Source organism: Homo sapiens, chromosome 6 (assembly GCF_000001405.40).
Source record: "Homo sapiens chromosome 6, GRCh38.p14 Primary Assembly".
Classification (NCBI taxonomy): Eukaryota; Metazoa; Chordata; class Mammalia; order Primates; family Hominidae; genus Homo; species Homo sapiens.
In genome coordinates, this window is record NC_000006.12 from 168,849,483 (window position 1) to 168,871,254 (window position 21,772).

The 21,772-nt window shown below is 46.2% G+C and overlaps 1 long non-coding RNA gene across 1 annotated transcript, besides 2 other annotated features; it reads left to right on the forward strand.

Annotated features, from left to right (window-relative positions):
* The first annotated feature begins 11,339 nt into the window (after window positions 1-11,339).
* Window positions 11,340-12,984, forward strand: LOC105378144 (uncharacterized). Its single transcript, XR_943297.2, has 2 exons — window positions 11,340-11,378; window positions 11,542-12,984. It is a non-coding gene; the product is annotated as an uncharacterized LOC105378144 (long non-coding RNA).
* Window positions 17,691-18,294: an enhancer, noted in NCBI's record as "H3K4me1 hESC enhancer chr6:169267268-169267871 (GRCh37/hg19 assembly coordinates)". NCBI's record gives its function as "activates a minimal SCP1, AML or CMV promoter by ChIP-STARR-seq in naive H9 embryonic stem cells {active_cell/tissue: H9 hESC(naive)}" and the evidence as "EXISTENCE:reporter gene assay evidence [ECO:0000049][PMID:30033119]".
* Window positions 18,295-18,897: an enhancer, noted in NCBI's record as "H3K4me1 hESC enhancer chr6:169267872-169268474 (GRCh37/hg19 assembly coordinates)". NCBI's record gives its function as "activates a minimal SCP1, AML or CMV promoter by ChIP-STARR-seq in naive H9 embryonic stem cells {active_cell/tissue: H9 hESC(naive)}" and the evidence as "EXISTENCE:reporter gene assay evidence [ECO:0000049][PMID:30033119]".

Sequence of the window (21,772 nt, forward strand, 5' to 3'; positions counted from 1 at the left end):
TTCTCCTCATCCTGCCAAATGGAGAAGCACAGTGGCCCCACCCCAGTACAGACCCCAAGAGATTGTCAAGAACACAGAGTCTTCACAAAGCATTGCCTCAGGACCCTTGAGGGATGCGCGGCCCCTGAGCCCCTGACACACAGGGTGAGCTGGTAGGAAGCGAAGCCCGCAGGCGAGTCCTCCCCTGTCATTTCCAGGCAGGGCCTGCTCCGTTGGTCATTCCCACTGGTGGCTCAGGTGTAATACGCACTTCCAAAGAATCTCAGCCCATAGAAGAAGCTTGTCTCCCTGGAGGACAGGGTGGGTAACTGTCCAGAAACATGTGCACATGAGGTGTGGAGAGGAGGCTTTCCTGCCCAGCTTGGGATCTGCAGGGGTGGGCAGAGGTGGCACAGGCCTTGTGGGCAGAGGTGGCACGGGCCTTGTGGGCAGAGGTGGCATGGACCTTGTGGGAAGAGGTGGCATGGGCCTTGTGGGCAGAGGTGGCATGGGCCTTGTGGGCAGAGGTGGCACGGGCCTTGTGGGCAGAGGTGGCACGGGCCTTGTGGGAAGAGGTGGCATGGACCTTGTGGGAAGAGGTGGCACGGGCCTTGTGGGCAGAGGTGGCACGGGCCTTGTGCGCAGAGGTGGCACGGACCTTGTGGGCAGAGGTGGCACGGGCCTTGTGCGCAGAGGTGGCATGGGCCTTGTGGGAAGAGGTGGCATGGGCCTTGTGGGCAGAGGTGGCACGGGCCTTGTGGGCAGAGGTGGCACGGACCTTGTGGGAAGAGGTGGCACGGGCCTTGTGGGCAGAGGTGGCACGGACCTTGTGGGCAGAGGTGGCACGGGCCTTGTGGGCAGAGGTGGCACGGACCTTGTGGGAAGAGGTGGCACGGACCTTGTGGGAAGAGGTGGCATGGACCTTGTGGGAAGAGGTGGCACGGGCCTTGTGGGCAGAGGTGGCACGGACCTTGTGGGCAGAGGTGGCACGGGCCTTGTGGGCAGAGGTGGCACGGACCTTGTGGGCAGAGGTGGCATGGGCCTTGTGGGCAGAGGTGGCACGGACTTTGTGGGCAGAGGTGGCACGGGCCTTGTGGGCAGAGGTGGCACGGGCCTTGTGGGCAGAGGTGGCATGGGCCTGCCTTCAGGCCCTGGCAAGCCTCACCTGAAGTGCTCACGGCTCTCGCGCGCAGACATGGCTTCACCCCCACTGTGCACACTGGCGCTGGGCCCTGTAGGACAATGAGGCCACCGGCCTGAGCTTCCCCACTGTCCCCACCTTGGACACCTTGGACCCCCAACTCCACAGAGCAGGCTGCACCTGGAGCCCCAGCCCCACTCGGTGCTAACACGTCCTCAAGGGACTGCGTTTACTTTTGTTTTCCAGTTGAGTTTTTCCTTGTGTAAAACTGAAACATTTTGTTTTGTTTTGCTTTTTTAAAATTTAAGCCAATTTTCTCTTTTTCAAACATCTGTGGATAAAGAAAATTACTTCTTAACACTTCATGAAGAACATTCATACTGTCGAAAACAACAAGTGGATTCCCACCCTAATCTCCGTGTCTTCCTGCTTCCATCCCTTCACCTCTCTTGGTGGGTTAAGCTGATTTACTGAGTCTATTTCTAGCTTAATAATTAACCATAAACAGTGGCATTTTTCCTAAAGAAAGGAGAAGTCAGTGTCTCAAGTAGTTGTTGGGAGCAGGCCTTCATCTGGAGACCCTGAAGGGCACCTGACCTTCCCCACCACCACCTTGAGAGGGGGTGAGGACAATCAGCAGGCGTGGGGAACCCAAAAGCTTTTGCTTTGATTCACAGGTATTTCAGTTTGTTTTTAGAGAAAGCATGTAGATTTTCTTCTTAGAGTCTGCCTTTGTGTGTCAGATTCAATATCCCTAACACCATTGTTTTGGGGAGCAGAAGGAGGGAGCATCATGAACCTGCAGAATGAGGTTATGGTGGGATTATCCCGAGAGATACAGGAGGAGGAACATGCATTTCTGCATTGAAGCAGAGTACACAGGGCTTAGGTTTCCAGAGCCCTTTTTAGGGGTGCCGTGAGAACCATGAGGATGCAGCTGAAGCCCACCTGGCCACGGGTGGCCCCACACCTTGCTCGCGGCCCAGAGCTCTCCCCCACTTGGCTGCACCCAGTGCTAGCCGCTGACCCCTGGGGACGCAGCCAAGATAGGGCTAGTGGTCACCTTAGAATAGGGCAGGGGCTGGGGCTGGGGCTGGGGCTGGAATGGGGCACAGAATAACCATCCTCTTCACAGCTCAACAGGGCCTTTTGTTCTGTTTTTACATTTAATACTGTGATTCCAGTAGACATCTACCTGATCCAAAGTTACAATGTCCCAGAGTAGTCCACAGACTGTGAATCTGAGACCTTTCACATAACCTAGCCAAACGGTTCTGAGCTGTCATGATCCAGAAAAAATATCTTCTGAGAAAGAAAATGAAAGTGAAAGTAATCGGAGGAAAGGCCAGATAAATTTCATTTGCACAAAGCACAAGGATTCTTCCCAAAGGTTCCAGATGGGGGGACTTCTGTTTAGGGTCTGACAGATCACAGCTCACCTGTTTTATTATGAAGCATGACTGCTCACCAGGCTCTACTGCTGAACAGGACCTGTTCCGAATTCAGACTTGGCTAGTAAAAGCTCTATAATAAAAACAATTCTTTGATGTCAAATCCCAGCACATAAAATCCCAAAATATGCTTTTACTAAGGTGAACGAGTGAATGGTTTGGATTAACATGTGAACAGTTACAAATGTCAGAGGCTGGGAGGGATATTAACTCAACTGGAAATTTCACTCAAGCCAGGTGTCTGGTTTAAATTTGAAGAGTTGAATATATTAAATATGCTTTATTGAGCTGTCATGCATGAAATTGCATCCTTATGTATCGGACAAACATCGGATGGATTTCCCAGAAGTTTGTGGGAGACCGACAGTCTTTTGGAGACATGGAGGAGAAGACCTTGTCTCCACCCGCCTCGTGCATAGACCTAGAGCCCGGCCAAGCCTGGGGACACCAAGTCCTAGGCAGATGCTGCCCGTGGGGCTGCTGACACCCTGGGCCAGCGGGCTTTTCCACGGAGAATGGAAACGGCCTGGACTGAAACTGCACAGGGGCAGCAGAGTCAACAGGGCAGCTGCTCTCCCTGTGGGAAGCGAAAGAGCAACTCTTACTCTCTCTGCAGAGGACATTTGGAGGGTTCTCCAGCTGCAGCCATCACTCTTCTCTCTATTCCCGAAACAGGGAGCCCCACTGCTGGGAAGAGACAAACACAGGTGCTGTGTGGAGTGGCATGGCAGATAGAATTGAACCATACACATCGGGATTATGACACTTTTGCCTTTTAAGATTGATATTTTTAAATCAAAATTTAAGCTACAGAATAGACAACAAAATATTTTGAGAAACAGCATTATCGAAGATCTATTTGATGTATTAATTTATGAAATTCCATAGGAATCACCTTTTCTGCAAATACTCTCTCAATATATGGACACACATGCAAGTAAATGGTTGTGAATTCATTAATAGAACACTACCCAGCACACTTACTCATCAACTGGGCTCATTTGATCTTTCTAAGCTTCTGTTTCCATGTCTGCAAATAGGAATGATAATAGCTCTTACCTCACAGCACAGTAGTGATGATTAACTAATATCATCTTTAGAAAACTTAACATTGTTCTGGCCGGGCAGGGTGGATCACACCTGTCATCCCAGCACTTTGGGAGGCCGAGGCAGGTGGGTCATTTGAGGTCAGGAGTTTGAGACCAGCCTGGTCAACATGGTGAAACCCCATCTCTAGTAAAAATACAAACATTAGCCGGGCGTGGTGGCGCTTGCCTGTAGTCCCAACTACTAGGGAGGCCGAGTTAGGAAAATCACTTGAACCTGGGAGGCAGAGGTTGCAGTGAGCTGAGATTGTGCCACTGCACTCCAGCCTGGGTGACAGAGTGAGATTTTGTCTCAAAAAACAAACAAACAAAAACTTTATCATTGTTCTGGTACTGTGTGTGTTGGAAAAATGGCAGAAGGAAGATGGGATTCCAGGGAAGTGTCCTGCAGATGAAGGAGGAGATGCTGATGGTAATTGTATGTTGGGAGGGCACAGGGAGAATCCTTCGCATGTGTGTTTGTGTGTGAGGAATGTTTCTTGCAAGTGGAAGGTAACTGTTGCCATGTGTTTGTGTGCCGGGTAGTCCTTTTTCTCCTATGTCTCACCCAATGCATCCAATTTGACACTAGAGCAGAAAACAGATTCCCTTTTTTTTTTTTTTTTTTTTTTTTTTTTTTGAGATGCAGTCTCGCTCTGTCGCCAGGCTAGAGTGCAGTGGCACAATCTTGGCTCACTGCACCCTCTGCCTCCTAGGTTCGAGCGATTCTCCTGTCTCAGCCTCCTGAGTAGCTGGGACTATAGGCGCGCACCACCACGCCCAGCTAATTTTTGTATTTTTAGTAGAGACGGGGTTTCACCATGTTGGCCAGGATGGTCTCAATCTCCTGACTTCAGGTGATCCACCCGCCTCGGCCTCCCAAAGTGCTGGGATTATAGAAGTGAGCCACCACGCCCGGCCAGATTCACTTTTATGCAGGTATAGCCATGAAACTTTTAGAGGGCTAGCTAAATGGTAGTTCCCAAAGGAACAACCTCTTTCCGGTTAGTTGCACTTGGATGCCTAAGTGCTTCTAACTCCAGGAATGGCTCAAGCGAGACAAACGCCAGCCCTGGAATCCAGGTGCCCCCTTCCCCTCCAGGAGGTCTGCACCTCAGGCTGCCTCTTGGACAGCTAGGAGCAGTGAGAGGGAGGCGTGCACCACACCCAGGCGTGTGGCAGTCCAGAGGGCTGTCTGTGGCAGCTGCAAAGATGGCAACCTTACCGAGAGGCACATGTGCCACTTGAGCTCGAAGCTCGGGGGCACTGTGTGCCTGCTTCGGAGCTCCTGAACACTTAGGCTCTGTGACTCTCAACGGGACTCAAGCATTTCTCCTTCGTAGTGGAGTAGCAAACTCGTGTTAAACTAGGCAATGCCTGTTACTAGCTGAAATTTAGTGAAGAAAACCAATTATACACAAGTTTATATATTCCATTAAATATTGCATGAAATAAAATAATGCTTTTTTGGAAGGATAAAATTTCTATATAAATGAAAAACAGTGGGGATACTTGGGATAAAAAGTGGTCAAAGCCCTAAATATCCATCACCCAGTCCAGTTCAGTGCATGCCCTCTAGAATATTCCAGATTATGATTTATGTAACCTTTTATGTAAACAGTAAGATAGTGTTTCAGGCCTTGCAAGCCATATGGTCTCAGGTTTACCTACTGAATTTTGTCAACGTAAATCACAACAAATCATAGAATTCGTAAATAAATAAGCATAGCTATGCTCCAATCAAACTTTATTTTTATTTTTTTGAGACAAGGTCTCACTCTGTCTCCCAGGTTGGAGTGCAGTGGCCTGATCATGGCTCACAGTAGCTTCAAGCTCCTGGTCTCAAGCAATCCTCCCACCTCAGCTGGGACTACAGGCATGTGTCACCATACCTGGCTAATATTTTTTATTTTTTGTAGAGAAGTTTTCTCATTATCTCACTATGTTGGCCAGGCTAGTCTCAAATTCATGGGCTTAAGCAATCCTTCCACCTCAGCCTCTCAAAGTATTTGGGATTACAAGTGTGAGCTACTGTGCCCAGCTAAAACTTTATTTAAAAACATACAAAAATAAAAAAAATCCACAGGCAGCAGCCCATAGCCTTGCTTTGCTTAAACCTTTCCTAGTTAAGAACTTTTTGACTGAGAAGGCTGTAGCTTCAAAATCCAAAAATTTATTCTCAAAATCTAGATGATTGAGTTTGACCATATGTTTTCCTAAAGCAGATGAGTGGATTTAATAAAATAGCAATCAAGTAAATTGGAAACAATGCACAGAAAATGAAAAGACTAAGGAAAAAGATACAATCTCATGCCAGGTGCAGTGGCTCACACCTGTAATCCCAGTACTTTGGGAGGCCGAGGCAGGAGTACCACTTGAGGTTAGGAGTTCAAGACCAGCCTGGCCAACATGGTGAAACCCCATTTGTACTAAAAAATACAAAAATTAGCCAGGCATGGTGGCTGCATACCTGTAGTCCCAGCTACTCAGGTGGCTGAGGCAGGAGAATAGCTTGAACTCGGGAGGCGGAGGTTGCAGTGAGCCAAGATTGCACCATTGCACTCCAGCCTGTGTGACGAGAGTGAAACTCTTTTTTTATTTTTGAGACGAAGTCTCAGTAACCTGTGGAACAACACCAAGGTGTCACATAATTATACCTGGGATCCCAGAAGGAGTAAAGGAAATGAGAGAACAACATTTGAACAAATAGGGGCCAAAACATTTCTAAATTTGATGAAAACTCTAAGTGAATAGATCTAGGAAGCTCAAGTAATCTCAAGTAAAAAAGCATACACATACACACAGACACACAATAAATACTTACAAGGCCTACCACAATCAAATTGCTGAAAACGGGTGGTAAAGAAAACATTTTAAAAGTAGCTGGAGAGAAAAGACCCATTCCATGCTGAGGTGCAAAGGTGAGAATGACGACTGTGGGCTTCATGACAGATACTATGGAAGTCAGAAGACAGGGAAATGGCAGGCAGGCCACAACACACCCAACAGAATGGCTGTCGTCCCAAAGTCTGAGGTTACCAGGCGTTGAGGAAGAGACTGATGCCTTCCTAACAGAATGGCTGTCGTCTCAAAGTCTGAGGTTACCAGGCGTTGAAGAAGAGACCGATGCCTTCCTAACAGAATGGCTGTCGTCCCAAAGTCTGAGGTTACCAGGCGTTGAGGAAGAGACCGATGCCTTCCTAACAGAATGGCTGTCGTCCCAAAGTCTGAGTTTACCAGGCGTTGAGGAAGAGACCGATGCCTTCCTAACAGAATGGCTGTCGTCCCAAAGTCTGAGGTTACCAGGCGTTGAGGAAGAGACCGATGCCTTCCTAACAGAATGGCTGTCGTCCCAAAGTCTGAGGTTACCAGGCGTTGAGGAAGAGACCGATGCCTTCCTAACAGAATGGCTGTCGTCTCAAAGTCTGAGGTTACCAGGCATTGAAGAAGAGACCGATGCCTTCCTAACAGAATGGCTGTCGTCCCAAAGTCTGAGGTTACCAGGCGTTGAGGAAGAGACCGATGCCTTCCTAACAGAATGGCTGTCGTCTCAAAGTCTGAGTTTACCAGGCATTGAAGAAGAGACCGATGCCTTCCTAACAGAATGGCTGTCGTCCCAAAGTCTGAGGTTACCAGGCGTTGAAGAAGAGACCGGTGCTTTCCTACAGTGCTGGTGGGAATGTTCAATGGTACAAGCATTGGAAAACATTCACTGGAAAGAGATTGGCAGTTTATTAAAAAATATGCATCTACTTACTGTGTAAATCAGCAGTTCGGTCCTATAAATACACCCAAGATAAAGGAAAGCACATGTCCACACAAAGACTTGAATCTGAATGTTCATAGCACCATTACTCATAATAGCTCCAAATTAGAAACGACCTAAGTGTCCATAAGGAGACACGTGAATAAGCACATTGTGGTGACACTTTCATACTGTTGGGTATTATTTACCAATTAGGAAAAAGCAGCTACCCATGCATTCAAAACCCTGAATGAGTCATAAACACATCGTGTAGAATAGAGAGGGCAGACACAGAGGCATGTGTATTGAGTGTTTTACGTTCATGCAATTTCTAGAAAAATCTGTGGAGAAAGAAATCAGTATTCGGGGGGGCTAAGAGACTGGAGGTGAACTCGAGGCATGACGGAAATTTTGGGGGTCATGGGAATGTTTAAAACTGAATTATGGTGTTACATCATAACTCCATAAATTCAATGAAAATCATTCAATTATGCATTTACAATGGGTGAATATTATGACATATAAATTGTACCACAATAAAGCTGTGAAAAAAATGAAGATGACATAAAAATTTGTTTCAAACAAAAACCAGATGGGCAAAATAGAAACCTAAGAGCAAACGTGTGGCTTTAGCCTCAACCATGTTGATCATCATGTTAAATACGAATGGTCTCAAAGGACCACATACTCTATGGCCCATCAGTCTAGACGTCAGGAAAATGCAAGCTCATCTTCTGTGTCAGTGGTTGCCTGGGGATAGAGGGAGGACAAGGTAAAAATGAGAGATCACAAAGGGGCACAGATATATACCTACCGCAAGCCTTTCAAATTGCACACAAAAAAATGTGCAACTTATTAAATATTATACCACAGTAAAGATGCAAAAAATGAAATAAAACTTATCAAATTATATGCTTCCAACATATATAGCTTATTTTATGTTACAGCTAAATATACATACATAATAAAAACTAAAAATAAAATGTGATAAGATCCCTAAAGACTTGCTCTGTGAGCTTAAAAATTCCATTACATCCATATTTTTTTTTATTTTTATTTTTTGAGACAGAGTCTCACTCTGTCACCCAGGCTGGAGTGCAGTGGCACAATCTAGGCTCACTGCAACTTCTGCCTCCCAGGTTCACGCTATTCTCCTGTCACAGCCTCCCGAGTAGCTGGGATTACAGGCATGTGCCACCATGCCTGGCTAATTTTTGTATTTTTAGTAGAGATGGGGTTTTAACACATTGGCCAGGCTGGTCAGGCTGGTCTTGAACTCCTGACCTCAGGTGATCCTCCTGCCTTGGCCTCCCGAAGTGCTGGGATTACAGGCATGCGCCACCACGCCCGGCCTTCATTTATTTTTTGTATTCCCTCAGAATCCTGCATGCTGAATATGTATTTAAAAGATTTTAAAAATGTTATTGTTTTAAACAATCCATTTAAAAAAAAAGATTGTCAGACTGGATAAAATAACAGGACTGAAATATATGCTGCCTACAAGAAACAAACTATAAATATAGGTGAAACGTAAAATAAAAGAAAAAAGCTACTCAGGCAAACATCAGACATAAAATGCAGATGTGTTAACGTGAGACAAGTAGACCTGGGGTTTTCAGGGCTTTGAGGTGCGAGGACAGCGTTATGTTAGTGGTGGAGTTCCTGTCCTAACAGGAGTGCAGTAAGGCCTCCTTTAAGCAGAGACTGCAGAATGAAGGAAGGCTGAGCAATCTCGTGGCCCTGTGGCTCTTGTCCTGCACTGGTAGCTGCTCCAGAGGGCCCGTGAAGTTCCTGCCCCACCATGCATCTTCTGCACATTGGTGCACGATGCGGAAGGGTTTCAGTGCACTTGGAATGCCAAGGTGAAAGTCTCATTTATTACACAGCATGGACACATAAATCAGGAATTTTCAGTCAATACAAACATTTATTTTGATATAAAAAATAATTGTTTCTTGTGTGGCTGACAAAGAGTTAAAAAATCAGGAATGCAGGCAGACTTTGAGAATGATGTATCTTTGCTTACTCTTCTTGACAGGTTTCCTATTATTCATGGAAATCGGGGAATTCTGGCATCTTTTCAGGCCACCTGTAGAACATCTGGCATTCGTTTAGGAAAACGAGTTCATTAAAGAAACTATAATTTATTTGACTACTTTGGCACTCATGGGATACACTTGGTTGTCAATACTCTGGGCAAATTTGTGGGTGGGTAATTCTATGAGTGAGCAAACAACAGGGAAGAAACTCTTTTGGAAGAGCTTGTGCTTTGAATCCAGCCTGGATCAACACTGACAAGGCAGGGCTTGTCTCTTCTCCACAGTGACCACAGATATCCATTCTGAGTTTATAATGATTGTGATTTTTTTTGTTTACCACAGCATTACATTTTTACTAAGCAGGTCACATGTGCCAATGCCTAATCACCAGGCTACTAAAGAATAAAGCAAAACATGTAAAAGAGCCCTGGGGTCCTGAAGACCTGCCTCGAAAATCAATGGTGCTGTTTAACTTTCCATCCTTAGAGACTGACAAAATGATTTTTGAAAATACTATCAGGATCCGATATTTCTGTCCTGTGTAAAAATGGGGTAGGAAGGGAAATAGCCAACAAAATTCCTAATAAAGAAAGGTGAAAACAAGGTGACTTTCCCATTGCTCTTCTAAATTAGATCTTTACTTAGGAAAAATGCTTTTTTTTTTTTTTCTGCCATGGGGATTTAAAAAAAAAACTGCTAATTTCATGACAGGAAATTTCTGAGAGTAAAATGTAGACTACAAGATACATTCACTTTTTTTCAGTGTAGCTCAACAGCACATGGGTCAGGCCCCAAAAGAAACATATTTTACCCACAATGCTTTATGATTGACAAGGAATTATAGACTTCTCTTTTTCATTTCTGATTACATAGATAAAAACAAAATTTGACCGAGATCTTTGATGATAATATCCAACATGTGAGAAGATATTTTCTATAATTGCCATACATGAACTCGAGAATTTTGCCAGAATTTTGAATAATGTACCCAAGAATCTGTTAAAAGTTGCCTTCCTACAACTCTAAGGAAGAGAAGGTTTTCCATATCTGGGTTTCTAAGAACTAAATAATTACCTGGAAATTTTGGTTGAAGATAAGCGCCTTGTCTTACAAATGAGAAGGAAAAGAGATGTTACCTAAATATCTTAAATATAATATATTAAAAAATAGAAGCTGTGTATACAAAAGTTTTAAGTCAAGCAGATATTTGACACTTCTCTTGTGAATTTTTTGCTTTAGGCAACCTAACTGGAAAATTTCTGAAGGAAAACATGAATTTTGGTGAAAAATTATCTGATTATTCCACCCCTATTAATCCAATTAATCAAAACATTGAAGAAGAAAATTGTCCTCACGTTCCACTGGGTTGACAGCCTAGATGGTGGTATTCTGTGTGACGTCAAGTTTAGCCTAAAGCTGCCTCCTTACATATTTTAGGGTCAGCCTGAAGACCTCTCCACACTTAGTGACTGTCACCTAACTGGGCGTGCCAACAGACCTAACCCACCCTTGCCCCAAGCAGCCGCATCTCAGCGGATCACAGCAGCCAGGCGTCACCATGCACCGTGGCCCGGTTCAAACTGTGTTTAAATGAGGCCCACGCCAAGCGGTGCCCGTCTGGCTGTTTCTGTGCCTCCGTCCAGTTTTCTTGGCATCACTGTCCTTTCTCTGTCCACAAATCTAACCGGACCACGCGACAGCGACGGAGCCGCCCTGAGCCTATGCTGGGTCCAGGGCTGCCCCATTCACCAACAGTCATTTGCTCAATGAAGCTCTGTGACATTCAGTTTGTCTGAAGTTTGTCTTTTAACATTGGTGATAGAGTGAGAAGTCTGTGAGGAGAAGGGATATGAGATGTTCCAAAATATTATTACATCACAAGCAAACGGATTTCTGAGTAAGAGGATGGTTGGGGCAGGGTCAGGTGGGCCGCACTGGGTGAGTGTCTGGTGAGGATGGGGGAATAGGTGGGGCGGGGGCAGAGAGGAGGAGGCAGGATGGAGGAGAGGGAGAAAGAGGAAGGGGGAGCCAGCAGCAGGGAGAGGGGAGACAGGATTGTATACAGAAATGGAACAAAGCCACCAGCTTCTGCACTCTCCAGTGTGCCCAGGACCTGCCCGCTCCGAGTGGACCCGACAGCACGGGGGTGGCCTGACGCCGGCTGAGATGCAGAATCAGGCCTCTGAGCTACTGAGCTGGAATCTGCCTTTTGGCCGGACCCGGTTGATTGGAACCGCGTTCATTTGAGGAATGCTCCCTGCGACCAGAGCTCCACCAGGACACTCCTTCCCTCCGCCGGCCACGTTTGCAGGGAGCCCCTGAGAGGCAGCGGCAGCCCGGATGCTGAATCCCATTCGCCCCGGTCATTTCCGGAGCGTCTTCCAGCCCGTTCCCCGCCATGACAGCGACGTGTGCTTTGAGCTCAGTCCACAGCAAAGACCACCTTGGTTCTTGTCCCGCCGCAACCACATCCGAAGAAAGGGGTCAGGTATTCTAGGCGTACGGGGACTGATAAATTCCAAAAATATGTTGCCTAGAAAAGATTGTTAAAAATATAAAGGCAAGTTTTATTCATTAATGTTCCCTTGCGCTGTCTGTGAAGAAAGGTAGGTTAAAGAGGTACTTCGAAGCAAATCTGTACCAGGAAAATAGAATTTGTTTTCACATCTTTTGAAAGATAAGTGAAATTCCTTCAGAGTCCACACCCATGCTTTTATAAACCTCTGATACACTAACAAATCCAAAGAAAAATTGAAAACAAGCGAGAAAAAGGAGACAGAAAATGCACAAGATACACCGCCCTTTTTGTTTGTTTGTGATTCAGGGCTCAGGATTGACTGGGTCCTCGGGAGGGGACTCGAGGGCAGAAGGATCTATTAATCTTACAACTATGTGTTTCATTTTCCAAGTGGTCAGTTTTTTAGGTTACTTTATGAAAAACTGAAATGGAACACAGAATATGAACAATTTCTCAGGGTAAGAGCAGCTAGATGTAAAAATAACATAATGCAATTAAAGAAGAAATCTTCCAGCAAATAGAACCCCATTTCGGGGATTTTCACCGTGGGCGTGAGGGTCACACAAGACTGAAGCCCGCCCAGGAGCAGGCGAGGTCACTGCAGGTGGTCAGTTACAGAGCTCTGCGTCATAGCCCTCTGGCCCCAGACAAAATTCACTCATCTATACATTTGCTTGAAAATGCATTATTTGATATTCATTTTGTATACTTAAATACAAAATGAAATGTAACCTGATATTGAAAATAAAAACTCCAGGCAACGTCTACATTTCTATGTATTTAGTCTTTTCAAGGTCTACATTTTAAAAGCAAGAAATGAACAAAGTTAGGAATACATTATTACTCTGGCAGGAAAATTAGACGGATTGATGAAGTGGGTTCTGTCTATTGTTATTTATCCTACTAGAAATTAAACTAAAAAAACTTAAAATGTTTTTATTCTTTAATTAAAAGCACAATAGTAAATCCATTACATGCCAACATAAATAACGTGTAATGAAAAATAAATGTAATTTTTGAACCAAACCATCTTGACTGACAAGAGTGCTATACTTTCTATTGCAAATCCAGTGTCTGACTTCCCGGAAGGCAGCCAGAGTCTGAGGCCACTCCCGCACTCCATCTGTGTGGGTTTGAAGTGTGCAGTGAATACTCAGTGTCACTCCCAAATGTATTAGGAAAGAGGAGATTATTTTAATAACCTTTCCTAGGTAATTGTGGTGATTCTTTGATACCACCCCCAAGCCCCAAAGGTGGTAGCTTCTTAAAGGTGCGCTGTTGTGTGGGATCTGAGCCCTATTGCCTGGGCATGCACCTGCCCCTGTGTCGGCATCCATGGGCCCGTGGCACCGCAGATGGTCTTCGCTTGCTCGTCACTTTATACCATCCCGCAGTGGAAACAATCAGCTCACTGAGTTCTGCAGATCTTCCAAATGTTGACACTTCTCACTACACAATATAAAAAGCATTTCTGTTGACCTCCCCACAGATGTCCTCAAAACACCCTTTAAGCCAGTGACAGGCTCACAGAGGGAGACACAAGGTCTTTGGGATTGTCACTTTCATAGTGATGCTTGAATTTTTATCATAGGCAACAAAAACTGTCAGCCGTCATCCTTGAAATGACAGACTCCCTCATTTTTGAGAAATGTCTGCCAGTTCTAGTTCCCAAGTCTGAATGACCAGGGCTGGCAGGTCGGTCATGGTCTTAAGTAACCGTGGTGACCCATGGGAGGAACTGCCTGTGATCCCTGAGTTTCCATAGCCCTAAATTATTGTAATGACGATATCCATGGAAGACTTGTGAAATTATACAATTATAAAATGTGCAATAAAGTCAACAGGAGATTGCTCTTGGATAAGCCCAGCACAGGGAAACGTAATTTGACAGTTGATTGGCCCCCCGGTGCTTTTCTGAAAAGAAATCACCAAGGCCAGGAGGGACACGAAACGCTTCTTCGTGTGTCGGCCCGTGTGCAGAATATCTCCAAGATATAAATGACTAAGAAGACTTAATTTGCCACCACAATATGTTTGCTGCAATTAATTTGGGGTGACTTGTATTTTAGCTTGGATCAAAAATGGGATCTGAAATGTAAAGAACACTGTTAGATTTCCCCACAGGCCGCTCTCTCTTTGGGTGATTTGCTAACTTTTAATTTGCATTGATTCTCTGAAGGGATCTTAATTCAGATGTCTCTCCACCTCTTCGCTGTAGTTTTACTTGGCCTTAGTCACGTGATCTTTGGGAGGTTTTAGGGAACGTTATCTAGAAAAAGAAATCACTTTAGATATTAACAAATGCAGAAATGAATCAGTCCATTCATCATTAGGGAAAATGAATTGTTCCAGAACCCAGGATTCTATAAAGTAAAATAACACTTACTTTGGAATTGCTAAGGGGTTTAAAAACACCCACTCCATCAAGCCTGTGAGCTGAACCCCAGGCCTGCACGTATGGCGGAGTGTGTAATGCCTGTGTGTGTTTCAGAGACCACAATTCCCAGTCCCCACTCCAGGTCCTGTGCCTCCCTGGGCGCTGTGGTTGGTGAACCCCAGTGGGCTGTTTAGGTGTTGAACTTGTACATAACTTGTACATGTGCAATCTTTGTATTTGTAATCAGAATTGCTCAATACCTCCCCTTCCCTTAGACTATATTAGATAATTTGCACCATGAGTGACATTTGCAAAACTTTAAGAGGTTTTTCCTAAACCATGAGACTGCACATTTGCTAAGGCCCCTTGTAAGTGGCTGAGTAGGCTCCTAAGCGCCTCCACCCCGAGGCAGGGGCAAAATCACATCTTAAAACTTTAAGTCTCATAATACTTTATGAAATAATGCAGGGTGTGTAACCTGCATTCATTTATATGGTATTTAAAATTAATATTCTGAGTCAAATTTAATTTAACTTGAACCAGCTGTCAGCCCAAACAGCTTTCTTTCATTTTTTGAATTTCAGTACACCAACGATCATTGTAAACATTTCCACCCAAACTTCTTCACATAAGTGATGATTAATTCCCGTGTATCACTTTGTTCCTCGGTGATCACAAATTGCATTACACTCAAATTTCACTTAGTGAAAAAGGATGTTAATTTTTCCAGTTCCTATGATTCTAGAATGGAAACACTTTTGGGAGTATTATTTCAAGATCTTGGGACCAGCAGTGAGGGATTTTAGAGTTAAAGAATGGCTTGGCAGAGATACTTCCCATTGTTTTATCCACTGGAAGTTTGAATAGTGTGATGGGTAATGGGCAGAAGAGAATAAAGCCTATTTCTCTTCTCTCAGAATTTGTGTATTAAAGGGACAATGTACACAACCCCATTCCTCAGGATGCCAGCCCACTGGGTGTTATTCATTTGTCAGGGACGTCATCCAGTTAGAAAAGCTCAGCAACTGACCTTGTGCTGGCTGCTATCTATGGAGAGAGAGAGAGAGAGAGAGAGAGAGAGGGAGGGAAGGAGAGAGAGAGAAAGAGACAGAGAGAGATGGAGAAAGAGACAGAGAGAGGGAGAGAGAGAAAGAGAGAGAGACAGAAAGAGACGGAGAGAGAGGGAGAGAGAGAGAAGGAGAGAGAAAGAGACGGAGAGAGAGAGAGAGGGAGAGAGAGAGAGAGAAAAAGAAAGAGACAGAGAAAGACAGGGAGAGAGAGAGAGACAGAGAGACACACAGAGAGAGAGTGTGTGTGTGTGTGTGTATGTGTGTGCGTGTGATTTTTAAATTTTGGAAAGTCCTACCTAAAAATAAGTTGCATATGCATTGCCAGCTCTTTAAAGCCAATCTGTGGATCTAAAACCATCCATTCACTTATTCCTTCACTGAAGAAGCACTGATTTAGCGCCTGGAATGACCAGGCACTCAGAACATCAACATGCAGACGTGGTTTCTGAGCTCAACATCACAGCAGTGTCTTCTCACCAATATTCACAGAACAGCTAATCATTGAGAGGGGACCCAACTTATTCAGCGTTTTTACATTTTACATTGACATTACATTTTACATTAGATTCCTTTCCAAGGGGAGTACCATGTTGATAATGATGGAAAAATGTATCTGAGAAAAGTAAGTTGCAAATCTATGATTTGTTTCCAGAAGCTTGTTACCACAGCGGGCAAACTGATAACATTAAAGCATGTTGACCATGCTTCAGATAAAGAATCAAGATCCCAATGAAGCTACACACTAGTTACTATTTTTTCCCTCCATCAAGAAACACTGAGTTGTGCTGTGACGGGTCAGGTGTCATGCTTCATGTTTTACATGCTAATTATAACTTTTGTAATGTCATCATCATCACCATTGACTGCTGCTTCTGTATCAGGCAGTCTGTGTACCAAACAGCTAATCTTCCAATAGCATAGTAAGTGGTCTAGTTACCTGTCAGGGAGGCACCAAGCAACAATAGGTTCTTAATAAATACTCACCGAATGAACGATAGAATGGTCATGCATGGCATGATAAGCAGAAAATAGGAGACTGTAATAGAGTCAAAATTAACTAATAGGATATATTAGTCAGGGTTCTCTGGAGAAACAGAACCAACAGGAAGGAGAGAGGGAGAGAGAGGGGATCTGCTGTCAGGAATTGGCTCATGAGATTGCTGGAGTTAAGTCCAAAATCTGCAGAATAGGCTGCAGACTGGAGCCTGGGGAGAGCTGATGTTGCAGCTTGTACCCGCGGGGAGTCTGGAGGCAGAAGTCCTTCCTCAAGGAATCACCAACTTTTTTATCTTAAGTCTCCAACCACATGGATGAGGCCCACCCACGTTACGGAGGTCCCCTGCTTTGCTCAAAGTTTATTGATTTAAATGCTAATCTCATCTAAAAGATACCTTCATGCCAACGTCTAGACTGGGCTTTGACCCATAGCTGGGTACCTGGCCAAGCCCCTGGTTACCTGTGCAAGTAACCAACACAAATCGTGTACTAAGTACTGTGCACACCGCAAGCTTACAATCAGACCTGGCATCACAGCGGGTCTTTGTATGGTGACAGCACAGGCCTAAGGGAAAGGGGATTTACACCACATGGTTTATGTAGGGTGCAGGCCAAGCAAGTTCACAAGAGGCTGGTGCAGGCCCCTCGACTGAGCACTTAGCTTGGTGCAGGCCCCTCGGCTGAGTACTTAGCTTTGTGCAGGCCCATTGGGTGAGCACTGAGCTTAGTGCAGGCCCCTCGGCTGAGTACCTAGCTTGGTGCAGGCCCCTCAGCTGAGCACTGAGCTTGGTGCAGGCCCATTGGGTGAGCACTGAGCTTGGTGCAGGCCCTCGGCTGGGTACTTAGCTTGGTGCAGGCCCGTTGGGTGAGCACTGAGCTGGGTGCAGACCCCTCGGCTGAGCACTGAGCTTGTTGCAGGCCTCTCAGCTGAGCACTTAGCTTGGTGCAGGCCCCTTGGCTGAGTACTTAGCTTGGGGCAGGCCCATTGGGTGAGCAATGAGCTTGGTGCAGGGCTCTCAGCTGAGCACTTAGCTTGGTGCAGGCCCCTTGGCTGAACACTGAGCCTGGTGCAGACCCCTTGGCTGAGTACCTACCGACTGTCAGAGGCACACGAGTGCTCTCATGCAGCTTCTCACTTAATCTTCACAACCTCTCACAGCCAGGGGTGACATCAATGCCATTTTCAGATGGGAAACTGAGCCTCAGGGAACTCAATGAGCCACCCAGGGTTCCACTGTAAAGGGAGAAAGGGAAATGAAGGTTCCCCTGTGTCCTGGGAGGCATCCTCTATCATGTGAGTACCTGGAGGCCAGCGTTCGAGGCTGCTCAGGATCACGAGAATCATCAGCACCTCTCAGTTTTCCAGCCCCTGTTTCAGCACCTGATCTCTCCCCAAACATCAGGCTGGTTATATTCAAAGATACACGATAAGCTGCATTTTCCGTTCCAGATGCCAGGGCTCCCCAGGGGCTCTGTCTGTCCCCTTTCAAGTCCCATCAGGGGCCTGCCCTCAGACACCACAGGACCTGACAAGGTATCCACGGCCTCATGATCCTTCACCCCTGCCCCCGGCTGGGGAAAGGCTCAAGGCTGCACGGCTCTGGGGTTCCTAGGACAAGCTCTGGGTGGGGCAGTCTGCCAGCTCAGAGACAGCAGGAGCAGGAGAGGTGAGGACTGGATATCAGGTGTAGAAAAGAAACCGGCTCATCAGCTTTCATCCTCCATTAGCTCCAGCACGATGGGGGTGGACAGGTGGTCTCGGCTGCAGGGGTAGCATGGGGACGGAGGCGGCCGGCCCGAAGGACCATGGGTCAGAAGCTGAGTGGCAGGCCCTGCAGTGGCCACTGTGAGTGTGGGGTGTGGCTATGCTGTGACCACACGACCAGGCTGAGGGCTGCTTGGAGCCTGCATCCCAGGCTCACGCTGGCCAGGCTCATCACTATCTGTACTCAGAGCTGGGTTGACCGTCCTTCCGGGCCTCCGTGTGTGCCCTGGACTGACCTCCAGCCTGGGGTGTGGACAGCAGCATGCTCCCTCCAGCAGGCTGCCTTGCCCTCCTCTGCAGGCCTTTGGCTGCTGCGGCCCCAGCTCTGGGCCATGAGCCGGGCTGGGTCCTTTGGCAGGCCTCCGCTCGTTCATCCCCCAAGAGATCCACGATGCCAAGAAGGTGGCCGGACAGAGGTGAAAAGCCAGCTCTGGAGGTTTAGATGCTATGTTCCCGACTTCCTCACCATGCTTCTTCCTGACGTCCTTAACTCCTGCCTCTGAGCAAAGTTCCTGTGCATGTTTCAGAAATTAAGAATGATGAACAAGGGAACACTGAGAGGGAGGGAACTTTTGTGAATTGATGATGATATTTAGGAGCCGTTGCTGGAAAGCTGTAACTGCCTGAACTAGCGGTGGGTCAAAACTTGGTCCAGTTATCTCAAATACCCACTTGTATGTTTCTGGGTAGTCTTTTCAAGAATTAAAGGAAAGTGAAAAAAAAGAAAAAAAAGCATCGTTTCTCAGCCTTTCTCATTTACGCTTAGAGTCTCCTCACATCACAGACATGCCGGGCAGAGCACTTGGCAAATGTGCAGCCTTAAAACAAGCAAACGAAATCCATTGCCATAGGCCACTTTTTTTTTTTTTTTTTTTTTTTGAGACGGAGTCTCATTCTTGTCCTCAGGCTGGAGTGCAATAGTGCGATCTCTCTCGGCTCACCGCAACCTCTGCCTCCCGGGTTCAAGTGATTCTCCTGCCTCCGCCTCCCGAGTAGCTGGGATTAAGGCACCCACCACCATGCCCTGCTAATTTTTGTATTTTTTAGTAGAAACGGGGTTTCACCATGTTGGCCAGGCTGGTTTCGAACTCCCGGCCTCACGTGATCCACCCACCTCAGCCTCCCAAAGTGCTGGGATGACAGGCGTGAGCCACCACGCCAGGCCCATATCCTGCTTTTTAAAGAGCAATATACGTCTCCAGTTCTTCTCTCAAATCTTTTACATCAGTTTATCAGGAAGCCACTGAGTATCCCAGACTGGATGGGTAGATCTGTACAATGGCAAACATTCACGAGATGAAGAAAACACGAACACTTCTAAGTAGACAAAGCCGTAAGGAAGTGAGCTATTTACGTAATTATGTATGTACAAAAGTATACATGTAAATAAATGCCTATATCAATGTATGTCTATGTAAATTTGGGCAAATATACACATATGGGTGTAAATATAATGCTGGAGGCAGTGCCTCCTTATTTACATCCATGAAAGTGCTGTCATATAGTATGACGATGCCTCAAGGATACAGAACCAGAAATACCATTTGACCCGGCAATTCCATTACTGGGCATATACCCAAAGGAATCTAAAGCATTCTCCTATAAAGACACATGCACACGTATGCTTATTGCAGCACTGTTTACAATAGCAAAGACATAGAACCTACCCAAAGGCCCATCAATGATAGACTAGATAAAGAAAATGTGGTACATATACACCATGGGATACTATGCAGCCATAAAAAGGGTAAGTTCACGTCCTTTACAGGGACATGGATGGAGCTGGAAGTCATCATCCTCAGCAAACTAACACAGGAACAGAAAACCAAACACCGCATGTTCTCACTCATGAGTGGGAGCTGAACATTGAGAACACATGGACACAGGGAGGGGAACATCACACACCAGGGCCTGTTGGAAGGTGGGGTGAGGAGAGGGAACGGACGGGTCAGTAGGTGCAGCAAACCACCATGGCATACATGTACCTATGTAAGAAACCTGCACGTTCTGCACATGTATCCTGTTTTTTTTTTTTTTAGAAGAAATTTTTTAAAAAAAGAAAGGAAAATGCTGTCATCGATGAGAATAGAAGCCCCAGAGTCTCTGTTTTCCTAACAGAGGGACTGTTTGCACTGTGGGTGCGATAGAACAGCTCCTGCCCTGTAACTCAGTGCTTGGGACTCTTGGCATCATGAGATGCCCTGAATTACTGGGATCATCCAAGTCTCCCTAGAAACTGTGTGGAAACATAGGTCACAGGCGCTTCTGTGTGTCTTATAAAGACAAGGCTGCTCCAGCAGGTAAGCTGAAAGTCACGTCCTAAGCCCCCAACAGTCTGAATGGGCTCCTTGTCTCAGTGAAAGGCATTCTGAAGTTAACCTGAAAATCTAGCTTAGGCCACGATGGGAAGTGGGAGGTGTCAGACGGGCCTCCTTATACCCTCCTCCCTTTGGAGTTCAGACACAACTGACCAGCATTCACATTAAAACAGAGATCTTAAGACTTTTTGTAGGAATGACTGAATTCCGTCCTGAGTCTAGTATAGCATCCCATGACAGCAGGCCCTAAAGCAAATGGAAGTATTTTACCCTAAAATATATTTTGTTGACATATTTTGGAATGTCCCTGCAAAGCTGTCTGTTGTAGGAAAATCTACATTCTGTAGAGAATCCCTCTCCCTTTCCAGGCCTTTTCCCTGATCTAAGAGAGAATTAACTAAAAGTCTGGCACCTTATAAGTCTGATAAGAGACACTTGCTGTGGGTTCTTTCTGAGTCTGCGCCCTGGAGGCTGCGTCTGCATTATAAGAACTTGGTCTCCACAGCCCTTACCTTAACCAGGCTCTGCTTTCTATGGATTCCAGGCCTTTAGGTAAAAACTTAACTCTTTCAACCGACTGCCAATCAGAAAATCTTTGAATACACCTATGACCTGGAAGCCCCCACCACCACTTCCAGTTGTCCTGCCTTCCTGGACCAAACCCCTATGCACCTTACATGTCTTGATGGATGACTTATGTCTCCCCAAAATCTACAAAAAAGCAAGCTGTACCCTGACCACCTGGGACGCTTGTTGTCAGGTACCCCTGAGGCTGTCATGGGCATGTCCTCTATCTTGGCAAAATAAACATCTGAATCCATTGAGACTTGTCTCAGAGGCCTTCTGGTTTATGAACAGGTGGAATGGCACTGCTCTCTGCCTGGGCTACTGGGACCGAGACAGACGGCCGCACCCTTAGCCCCCTTGCAGAGAGCAGCAACATCACCGGGACAATCTTCTCCCAGGCTGTGTCCGTGCTGTTTGTCCTCATGCTCAGCTTTTCTGATTTCCGGAACATTCCTTCATCTGAGCCCCTTTGTTAAGGGCTGCTGGAGGTCGGCGTGTGGCCGGGTGCACTAAGCTGTGATTCTACCAATTCCGGGCTGAGGACTCATCCTGCAAGCCCCAGGCAGAGCTGCCTTGTCCATGAAACACCTGCTGCTCCTGACAAGTGCCCACCGTTTGTGGGTGGCCTCATCTCCCCAGGGGCCCGGCCACTTTGGATGCAGACCTTCATTCTCACAGCTTCTGACCCCACCATCAGCCTGCTGCATCCAGTCAAGCAAAC